Here is a 12,878-nt window from a genome sequence, read left to right as displayed (position 1 = left end):
AGCATCTGCTGTTTCCTGACTTTTTAATGATCACCATTCTAACTGGTGTGAGATGGTATCTCATTGTGGTTTTGATTTGCATTTCTCTAATGACCAGTGATGATAGGCTTTTTTTCATATGTTTGTTGGCCGCATAAATGTCTTCTTTTGAGAAATGTCTGTTCATATCCTAGGCCCACTTTTTGACGGGGTTGTTTTTTTCTTGTAAATTTGTTTGAGTTCTTGGTAGATTCTGGATATTAGCCCTTTGTCATATGGATAGATTGCAAAAATTTTCTTCCATTCTGTAGGTTGCCTGTTCACACTAATGATAGTTACTTTTGCTGTGCAGAAGCTCTTTAGTTTAATTAGATCCCATTTGTCGATTTTGGCTTTTATTGTCATTTCTTTTGGTGTTTTAGTCATGAAGTTTTCCTCATACCCATGTCCTGAATGGTATTGCCTAGGTTTTCTTCTAGGGTTTTTATGGTTTTAGGTCTTACATTTAAGTCTTTAATCCATCTTGAGTTAATTTTTGTATAAGGTGTAAGGAAGGGCTCCAGTTTCAGTTTTTTGCACATGGCTAGCCAGTTTTCCCAACACCATTTATTAAATAAGGAATCCTTTCTCCATTGCTTGTTTTTGTCAGGTTTATCAAACATCAGATGGTTATAGAAGTGTGGCATTATTTCTGAGTTCTCTGTTCTGTTCCATTGGTCTATATATCTGTTTTTGTACCAGTACCATGCTGTTTTGGTTACCGTAGCCTTGTAATATAGTTTGAAGTCAGGTAGCATAATGCCTCCAGCTTTGTTCTTTTTGTTTAGGATTGTCTTGGCTATACGGGCCCCTTTTTGGTTCCATATGAAATTTAAAGTATTTTTTTCTAGTTCTGTGAATAAAGTCAATGGTAGCTTGAGGTAGCTTGATAGGGATAGCATTGAATCTATAAATTACTTTGAGCAGTATGGCCATTTTCATGATATTGGTTCTTCCTATCCATGAGCACGGAATGTTTTTCCATTTGTTTGTGTCCTCTCTTATTTCCTTGACCAGCGTTTTGTAGTTCTTCTTGAAGAGGTCCTTCACATTCCTTATAAGTTGTATTCGTAGGTATTTTATTCTCTTTGTAGCAATTGTGAATGGAAGACACATTCATTTTTTAAACAGTGATTTCATAAGATCTCAAATTTTGAACTTTTGAACTTTTATAAATATTTTCCTTTGAATTTTTACCATGAACTTTTCAAATATGCATAAAATTTGAAAGATAACACAATGTATCCATTATTTAACATTCATAATTTTCAGTATTTTACTAATTTTATTTTATCTACCATCCTATCCCATTTTTGACATACATTAAAGCATGTCCCAAACAATTCATAATTTTATCTATTGTAATATAAATACTTTATAATGTAGCTCTAAATAATACATGTCTTTTAACACAACCATAATGCCAACAGTACATCTAAAAATTAACAATAATTTAAATTAATTATTTAAAAAATAATATTGTCTCCAGTTGTCTCAAAAATGTTAATTTACAGTTGGCACGATTATATCAGTATCCAAACAAGCTCTCTGTATGCCAAAGTCAATATTTTAATGGTTGATATTTCTGACTAGACAGAAAAGTTATGCCATGGTCTCTAGTACAGTGTGAGATAAAAACAATGGAAGACTGTTTTGTTTGCAGTTAAGGGATGTCCCAGCTCTACAGTCAGATGTCTGCGCTCAGATCATGTGCTGTGTTACTCATGAGCTGTGTAATATTGGGCAAGTTTCTTAGCATCACTGAGCCCGTTTCTTCATCTATAAAATGAGAGTTGTATGTATTAAATGAGCATATATATATTTAAAAACAGTTTGCACAGTCCTTAGAAATAGTCATAAATGCATTTACTTTATTACTTAATGTAGGTGTCTTTTCTTTCTTTGTGTGGGTTTTGTTTTAAGATATGAAAATCTTAGGTATCAGTTTCTCAGGAAAACATAATCACAAGGGAGCTAGTTCTTCCTGAACCTCACTTGCAGAAAAAAGGCACTTCCAGATGGGTGTATTACCTAAGGTTTTAGAGGTGTGGTCAAATTACAACTCATTTATGGCACACTCTTAATATGAAAACATACTGGAGAACTTCATTGGTAAATTTCATGCTGTGTGTGCCCTGAGTACGACCTATGTAAGTATATCATGGAGACAATGCTAGAGTGTGCCAGATATTCCTATGAAATTCAGTTAATTAGAAGTTTGAATATTCACCCTAATGTTTGAAAACAAGGAAAATTGTGTTTATTTAATTAAGGATACAAGAGTGCCATCTAGTGATCAAATTCAGTAAACTGCAGACACGTGACCCTTAGAAACCCAGTACATGATGGAGGGGCATGTGCTACTGATACAAAGTATACAAAATAACAGAAAACAGGACAATTTTCTAATTTTATAGAGTTTTCTGGTAGAGTATCACCTGATGTTTATTCCGATTTTGATCAGGTGGACTGTTATGTTCTTGTTGTATTCCTGTCGGTTTTCCCTGAGATTTTGTTTTGTGTGTCATAATAAAACGCCATTAGCGTCCGATGAAACTTTGTTAAATTAAAGGCAAAATTCTAATAACAGGAAAATGAAACTTGCATTAATGAATAATAATAGTAATAATAATGTCTAATATATTTTGAACGCGTTATATGTAAATTAATGTACTTTGCTCTTTACCTTTATTATCTCATTTAATACAAGAATTCTATGAATGAGATGTTATATTCATTTTACGTCTGTAATTAAACAGATTATGTTGCAACATTGCATTGCTAGTAAGTGTGGAAGACATTATGATAGGTGCGATCTTCATGAGATGGCACTGGGCTCGATTACATAGTACCTAATTCTATAATATTTCAATCTTGTCAATCATCAAACTAAAGCATAAAAATGCCCAAGAATTAGAGATAACGAAATATGACATTTGTCTACAGGTGACCTTGTAACTGAAAATATTTCAACTACTATGTCATACTATTGTAATTATAAAAGAAATTGATACAAACAACAACTTTATCAAGTTATGTAGTATTATGTTGCACTTGTGAAAGGGCATTTATTAATTTTTAAATGTTACTTTAAGTAATAAAAAAAAGCACTGGTTCTCTTTCCCTCTAGACCAGAGTTTCTTAGCTGTGAGCCAGATAATTCTTTTTCTGCAGAGGACTGTACTTTTAATTGTAGGGTGAATATTGTCTTCAGCTACCCATGCCCAGGATCAGAGTGATGAAATATGTGTGGTGGTCCTTGAAAAAGGCTCTCATAAATAATTGCCTTCTTATTTTTATCTAGGCCCATTCCAAATTACTGTTGAAAATATTGAACACATATAGATAGTGGGGCAGGGTAGCTGTGAATAAAACAAAGCTCTATTCTATTTCACTTACAGTCTAATGGAAATAACTACTTTTAGTCAAAGTTTAAAAATTACTTCATGTCAGAAATTAATTTCAAAATTATATCATTTATGTTCTGGTAGAAACTTTTCTGCAAAAATCTTATTCCAAGACTCTTTTCTATTTGTAAAGACTAATCACTGTATATGGTGAGTGCAGCTTGGATTTCTCATAGTTTTGTGTTTTGTCCTTATTTATGTTATTAAAAAATTGATACCAATTCTAGGTGAAATATTTTAATGAACAGACAACAAAAAATAAGCAATTAACTCCTTATTTCCTCAATATAAAGCAATACTTTTGTTTTCTTTTACTATTAGGTGGTAGAAAGAAGTTGTAAGTAGAACAAAAGCATTGGAGAATAAACAAAGATAATCAAGATAAAAAAAATAGAGGCAATAGGGCATGTAGGTGGGGACCTTACTAAAATTTTAAAGACAATTGTAGTATAATTTTTAACTAGCAGAGTGACTGTTGGTATGGGTTCATAAATAGTTTTTGAAAAAATAAAAAGATGAATAATTGAACAAACTCTCCCAAGTCTTAATTTCCTCATACATAAGGGGTTATATGTACTCTTGATAGCATTCAAGAAACTTATAAAGAATAAGTGAACAAATGAGTTTGAAGGTAGTTTATTTATAAAGATCAAATAAAATGTGTATGATATAAATCATCTCTACTTTCCATTAAAATACACATAAATTTACAAAAAGATAGCATTTGTCGATATCACTGTAAGAAGACTTTCGGTTTTAGCTTGAGCAAAATTTCAACTCACTACCTGGTCATTCCTTTTTATGGTTTTCAAATTATCTTAACAATTCTTACTAAACATGGGATTCAATTTTTATTTGCAGATTTTGTTACCAGTATACTTTTTTACTTTTGTATTTGACCTTGCCTTGCTAATATCAACAATAGTCTCAGAATTCAAGAAGTATTTTTGGTAGCTACAAATTATAACAAAGTAAATCACACTTCTTTTGCATTTGTCTCTCTGACTATTCTTCATCTTTGTGAAAAACAAATAAATAGACATAAGAAATGCAGGTAGGCACTTTTGCGCTGGCAAATTGAATTAATTTGGCAGATATATTTAATTTTGCCTGCAAGCAGCTATTCAGTGCTAAATTATTAGAAGTATATTACTGGATGTGATATGTTATAGGTTCCTAGAAAACTATGCATAAATTCAAATTCATTAGTTTAACATAAGTTCCTCTAGTAGAACAAGAATCCCTCCATGATGAGGCAACCAAAGTAAAACATGTGTATTTGTTATTTTATATGTTCCAAGTTGACTTTACAGAAGACTTATGATAATATCGATAATACAGTGACAAGCTATATGACATTTACTTTCGGTTGATTTTGGGGGAAAAAAGTATTTAAACATACCAAAAATATATTCTAAATATATTCCAAACAAACACTAAACTAATGGAATAGGTATAGATGAATTTTATAAAAGCTTTTAAATGCACAAGGGTGAGCTAACCATCTAAAGGAAAACTCTAGAGTATCCTTTTAGAAAATGAAGTTTCTTCTGTTAAGTAAAAACTCACCTTAATTCAACTGCTTTGTATGTTCATGTTCTGGCATGTTGGGTTTTCTTCAAGAGAAGCACTCATTGACTTTGTAGTGTGGAGAAACTTTCTATTAGTATTTACAAGCTCAATGCTGCCTTGTGTTTTGAAACATGTTATTAACTGGCAATCCACACAACACCCCTTGTTAAATAGGTCATTATTATTATCTTCACTTTCCAGCTGAGGAAACACACCAAGAGAGGTCACGGAGTGGTGAGTCAGGGCCAGGATTAGCAATGAAAAGCACCCAGTTGTCAGTGCTTTCCTTGGTCCACCCGGCTACGTTAAATAGGTGAGATGGCTTGCCTGGATAGCCACAAAGAATGGGCGCCGGCCCAGACCTTGTATAACCAAACTGCTCATAAAGGCAGCCTGTGTAGTTCTTGCTTCTGGACTTCATACAAGTTACCCTAAATTTGAATTGGTGGGGCCCTCACTAATATTCTTGACCTAGTTCCTGAACGTTGCCCTTACTATTCCTCACCTTATGGCACCATCACACTGAAACCCTGTGAGTTTACCTGTGGTTTGCTCTACTCTGAACTCATTTCTGAGTAGAGAAAGATAAATAGTACTGAGGGGATTTTACAACCTGGGGTGATATTTCTGGAGGGACTAAAATCTGTGTTAATTCTCTTGAAATATCTAGAGAAAATTTATAACTTTTGCATTTTTCTTATCTAAATATTTTTTGAGAAAAAAAGAATGCATATGTAATAAATACTATCTGAAATTCTGGACAATAGTCAGAGCATAGGTAATAGATATGATACTGCATAGTATAATTTATTAAATATTGATAGCAGTGAGGTCATGAATTTTACAAATAATTCAGCTTCCAATTATTAAGAAAACTTCACTGTGTTAGCATTTCAACTGTAAAAAATAGTATGATCAAGAGAAGGGTAATAATGCAGGAAATAGTGCAAAAATCTCTTAAGAACATCTAATAGCAAACAAAAAACCTAGGCTTTGGTGGAACTACATAGATTTCACAGTTTTTGAAATGTGGAAGGTGTGGGGGTTATCAATAATATTTAACAAAAACATTCCTATTTTAGTTAATCTAATATCATATTGGGAAATAAAGACATTTGTTCAAAGTAACATGTAGAAGTTGACCTGTTGCTAAAATATCCTATCAATATATAATATTTAACATATTTGATTTAGTTTGTGAAAATGTTTTAAAATCTTTTGTTTTATTTAAAGAAATATAATCTAAGTCAGATTTTTCTTAATTTGAATGAAAAATATCCTCTGGAGAAAAAAAATAACAAAATATACCAAAGCGAACAGAAAAATAAATATAAATTCAGACTAAGCAGATACATACAAATGCAATTGAACATACTATTTAAAACCTTCACTCTAATGAAAGAAAAACTTTGGCTCAGATGGATTCACTGTTGAATTCTTTTAAAAATTTGGGAAAAAATGTAATAATTCTACTGAACACTTTCAGAGGAGAGGAAAAAAAGGACAATTCCCAATTCACTTTATGAGTCAACATAGCCTTTCCTCTAAAATGTTACAAGGGCATTATGAGAAAAGTAAAATACAAGTAAGTTTCTTTCAGAAACATAGTTGAAAATTTCTAAACAAAATGTGAGCAAATCAAATAATAAAACAGATAATACATCAAAACTAAGTAAGGTTGATATTAGGCCTATAAGACAAGTTTAACATTCAGAAGCAATTAATCTAATTAATCATGTTGATAGAATAAAGGAGAAAATGGCATAAAGTTATCTCAATAGATGCAAGAAACCCTTTGACGAAATTTGATATTCTTTCATGATAAAAGCTTTTAACAAACTAGAAACAAAGGATAATCTTCTTAAGCTGAAAAAGAATATCTATAAATATCTATAGTAAGCGTTATATTTTATAATGAAATATAAAAATTTCTTACCAAGATTGAGAATAAGGTAAGGACTTCTGATATTATCACTTCTGTTCAACTTTGTCCTGGATGCCCTAGCCTGTGCAATACTGTTATAAAAATAAATGTAAATTATAAAGTTTGAAAATAAATAAACAAATGAACATTGTATGCAAATAGCATTGACTGTGCACACAAAATACACAGAAGCATCTGCAGATATATGTATTAGAATTTGCTTAGTATTAGAATTAGATAATAAAAAATGTAAAAGAAAGCATTAAATTGAGCATGAAGTGCGTCAGATTCTTAAATATAAGTCTAATAAAATTGTGTAAAATTTTCTAACAAAAATGAGGCAAGACAATTGTGAACAAAAACAAGAAAAAAGAGTACTAACATTAGCATACCAAGATTTATCAAAATGTCACAATAACTGAGACATTATGCTGTTGACGCAAGAGTAAAAAACTGACCACGGAAATAATCTAGAAATAGCCATATATACAGCCTATTTATAATAAAGGTGACATTATATTGTGATGGGGGAAAAGTTAGGTTAACAAATCTGGACCCTTATGTCCTTAACACAAAATAAATTCCAGATGAAGTGGTGATCTCAATATGAGCTACAAAGTAACATAAGTTGTAGAATATAATATATGTGGATAGCTTTACAATCAGAATGATGTTGTACTTAATAAAAGAACACATAAAGTTCTAGCCAAAAGATAACAATTGATAAATTATACTTCATAAAAATTAAGATCTCCTGTTTATTAAAATACTCCATGAAGATAGTTTAAAAGGCAGAGTAGAAGAAAACATATACATATATATATAATGTTACATATTGAATATAAACAGAATATATAAACAATGTGTACAAATCAAGACAATAAAGATAGACAACCCAATGGAAAAAAATAGGCAAACATTTGAGCTGACATTCACAAGGAGAGTAGCCAAATGGCTAATAAGCACATGTAAAAGTGTTCAATATCTTTAGTCATCAGGTACATATGAATGAGAACCACAATATAACACCACTATATACAAGCCAGAAATGCTGAGGGGTAAACACTGCCAATGAGAGTGCCAGCTAGTACAATTTGTTTGGAAAGGTGTCCACACACAAAAAAAATACTATTTATCTTGCAGTATCTCCTAAAGCAAAGCATACAAATACCTATGGCATAGCAATTACATTGGATATTGAAAATGTGTACATATATACACTGAAGACATGTACAAAAATGTTGACAGCATCACCATTTGATATAGTGAGAAATTGGACAGAATTCAAATATCCATCAACACTACAGGGAATACAATTTTAGAATATTGATACAAGGGAATATTACATGGCAATGAAAATGAGTAATCTGCTACTCTCAACAACATGGATAAATTTCACAGGCATACTACTGAGTGAAAGAAAGTATACACAAAAATAAATATTGTATGATTACATTTATATAAAAATTTCCAAAAGGCAAAACCAGTCTGTGTGATGGAAGTCAAAATAGTTGTTCTCTGGAGGGGGTTAGGGGAGTGATAACAAAGAAAATACAAGGTATGCTTCTGATAATATTCTATTTCTTCATCTAGGTAGTGTTTCCAAAGGTGGTATGGACAGCTAAGAGTAATTGAGCTGAATACTTGAAGTTTTACATACATATCAACTTATTTGTTATGCATTACACATCAATAGGAAAATTAAACACAAATCAGAGATTACTTCAAATGCAAAGAACATGCAACATTTGTCTCTTTCCACTATTGCATAACAATGTCTCTAAATTCAAGTAACAAAGCCAATCTAAGCAGATCAGGGTGACGCTAAGAGGAAACTTTTAATTCTTCAATAAAAAATCAATAATCTCTATTTGAGTTATATTACTTGCCAAGAGACATTTTCTCCTTAAGTGTTGTTCATATATTCCAATTATTTTCAGATGAGATAAAAATTATTTCCCGTAGGCATATATTGCTTTTCTTAAACTCAGACAACTACTTCACAAGTTTCCAAATCGTAAAGGAGATAACTCAGCCAACATATCACCACTATTATTAAAATAAATCCAAAGTACACATTTCTCTTGCCATGAACCAAATTCAAAATATTCAGGTTATCTGTAGTGAAGTGTGAGTGAGTTTTATTTCCTTTTTGGTTCAAAATACCAGAGGGACCCTTTCATGCCAGCTAGTGGCTGCAGGAGCCACACAGAAATGAAACAGCAAATTATAAAGCCACCAGGGCTGCCTCGTACTTAAACACCCTGCCCTGTTATCAAATATCATACTGTTCCTAATTCCAGCACCTTCCTCTTGGATTGGTGACCTAGCATTTTAATTTCAAGCACTCTATCCCATAGTAATCATAAAATAAACCAAGTTTTCTAAATTCACTCCTTGGATGCAGGCACAGATACATTTTAGCTTTGCAGATTGTTACTCATGTCCTTAGCTAACTTTATTATGGTCACTCTGATTATTAATAGTTTTCTGGCTAATCAGTGTCTTTGAGGCCCTCCCCAGATAATTCTATGCCTATGCACATTTAGACACAGTTATTCTATTTTAGTACCTTGCCTACATCACTCTTTCACCAAATTTAGAATGAAAGACAAACAGATCTAGTTCTGGGGGGGCACTATCTCCACCTGTACTGCCCTGAGCACCCTAGTGCTCAGAACATGGGTCCCATGATAGTTTCATTTCATGGGTTATAAGGTTATATATTTTCCTAAAGATAAGTGAATTGATTGATTCATTCATTGATTCATTCATTCATTCATTTTGTGGATTAGAACTAGAGGATAAGAAATCTCCCTCCTTATTCAGGTTAGTATTTCATATTGTAGAACCATAACGTATAGCAGAACGTTCTCTGATCCATATATTGGCCTAGTCTATCAAAAACAACTCAATACATCCAATTCCACCTTTTAGTAGCAATTAAGTGAATTAGTAATTAAAAGAAAATTATTTGATCAATTTGGAGCCAATTAAGAGAAAATTTTGGGACTGAACAGAATATACATCATATTCTAAAAGAACCATATAAATGAAGATATAGGGGCTTAAAAAAATCTATGACTTAACCTAGATCACAGAAGTATTCAATTGGTATGAACTAATTTGCCTCTTTTATTAATGTGTAATAAAGAAAAACAGAAGCAAGTGAAATAATTTTCTTTTTTTATTTCCTATCTCTTTATTTTGACCTATATCATCTATGAAATTGAAAAGTTAAAGAGGTTATTGCTTTGACCTTTGAGTCAGACATTAGTTAAACCCATAGTGTTTCAAAACATTTCATTTTGAAATAACTGGAAATTCATAGGAAGTTGCAAAAATAGTGCATTATTCATATCACCTTAGCTTTTACCTAATGTCCAATTTCTGTTTTAGCATCTCATTATTTTAATTATACTTTAAGTTCTAGGGTACATGTGCACAACATGCAGGTTTGTTATATAGGTATACATGTGCCATTTTGGCTTGCTCCACCCATCAACTCATCATTTACAATAGGTATTTCTCCTAATGCTATCCCTCCCCGAGCCCCAACCCCCGGACAGGCCCTGTGTGTGATGATGTTCCCTGCCCTGTGTCCATGTGTTTTCATTGTTCAATTCCCACTTATGAGTGAGAACATGCGGTATTTGGTTTTCTGTCCTTGTGATAGTTTACTGAGAATGATGGTTTCCAGCTTCATCCACATCCCTGCAAAGGACATGAACTCATCCTTTTTTATGGCTGCATAGTATTCCATGGTGTATATTTGCCACATTTTCTTAATCCAGTCTATCATTGATGGACATTTGGGTTGGTTCCCAATAGCAACACTTTGCTGTTGTGAATAGTGCCGCAATAAACATATATGTGCATGTGTCTTTACAGTAGCATGATTTATAATCCTTTGGGTATATACCCAGTAATAGGATCACTGGGTCAAATGGTATTTCTAAATGCTGGAAAAGTTGGTTTTCCTATTTGACAAAAGGATTCCCCAAAATATTTTGGAAGTACTAAAAGAGGACAATATTTTTGTATTAATAATAAAAAATCAGAAAAAAATTTTAAAACAATTCATTCTTATTTTTATACATTTCAAATTTTATATACATACTTTAAGTATTTTGGTCTAATACATTTATATAATTTATAAAGATAGACTATACATGCATATATACTTTTTACACATATTATATATATACTCAGCAAATTCTCAAAAATATTTTATTGATGGGGTGCAACAATTTCTGAGATAACCAATTGAGGCTACAATTCTTCACCAGTATGACATTTGGTAGGATATATTTAATTTTACGTATATGTGTATATGCACACACATATAGGTACAAAAATACTTATATGTGTACAGGTTTCAACTTTTTGAGAACTAAAACATCACAGTAACCTCAGAAATGTAAAAGAGCACAGCACTCTAGTATAGAATTTCTTAAGGAAGACCCAAGGTCTTCAGGAGATTTCATAAGTTCAAAGCATCTGTGAGCCTGCTGATATTTGTGAATATTTGGTATGTACATATACATGTACGTGTGTATATTTCTGCATTCAAAAATATAATGAGTTTATATTCTTTACTAGATTCTCAAGGGAGTCCTTCACCAAGAACAGTTTAAGCAGCAATATTCTATACTCAGTTTTGTGTTATTTGCTCTGGCTCACGCTGCAAAACTAGCTACTGTTTTGTCTTTTTTTGTTTTTGTTTTTGTTTTTTGGTCAAAATGTTAACTTCTTGTATTGAATAATCTATAGCCCATAACTCTTCAAAGTTAAACTTTTCACATTTAAACTCTAGAGAAACATGAGTCAAGTACCAATCAAGCTTAATTCCTATAGCATAAATTCTCCAAATTTAACTAATCAGTTTTGCCAACTCCCATAGAATTATTTCATAAGTAGTAGCACGTAACTAAACTCCCACACTGTCTTTGAAGGCACATTTTGATTTATATAGCCATTACCAAGTAGTATTTTCCAATTAACTGTCTCACCGTGGCACTATTATATGAATAGCTCTAGAAACAAGTTGCATTGACTGTTGCCAACCTAAACATCTTTCAGTTGTAAAGTTTGTTGATTTTCTAATAGCTTTATCCAAGAGTATTGTCAAGTTGTCTGCCCTATCTGTTTATTTTTTGTCTTATATTTTGACTAAAATGTAAGTTGCTGAAGGCAAAGACTCTTTGGTTTGTAACATGTGGTAGATACAGTAGACTGGCATAGTTTATTTCTTCCAACTTTCTTGAGGGATAACTTCCTATACTGCAGAAACCAGAAAGCTAAGAAAACCTTTACCAGAACACCTCCCAGGTAACTTTCCAGAGGTGATTTATGTTCTTGAATCATATGTGTGTATCTATTTGAATTTGTAACAATGTTAAATGAGGAAAACAGCAAAGATGGTAAAAGACATCCAATTCACTGGTACATATCTAGTAGGTAGGATGAGACTCTGGAGCCAGTGGTTCTAGCAGTTGCTTTCTGACCCCAGAATTGCAGCTTAGGTGCTGAAATATAACCAGTCATTAATTTAAGAAAGTCTGTTTCACTCTCCATCTTCTTGCTTAGGCAAAAATGACACTCAGTCATGGGAGTCCAACCATTCCAAAGATGTAGAAGGACCCAATTCTTTGTATTAAATCCATTTTTGCTAAAAATAGAGTGGTTTGCTACTTACAATTTATTTTTGACTGATACATGAGAACTCAATTTGTGTTGATTGAATGAATACAGTTCTAAAGAAGCATAAAATGCATTAATAAAGGAGACAACATTGCAGTGAAGATTCACATGTTGGATACCCCAGAAAGCAGACTCTAAAACAGAGATGTACACAGTTACTTCATTGGCAGGTGCTCTTGGAATCAACACCTGGATGAGGCAGTGAGTGAAGTTGAACTGTGATGCATTTGCAACCAAGGCATCAGCTGATCATA

This window comes from Homo sapiens, chromosome 8 (genome assembly GCF_000001405.40).
Source record: "Homo sapiens chromosome 8, GRCh38.p14 Primary Assembly".
NCBI lineage: Eukaryota > Metazoa > Chordata > Mammalia > Primates > Hominidae > Homo > Homo sapiens.
This window is presented reverse-complemented; position numbering follows the sequence as displayed.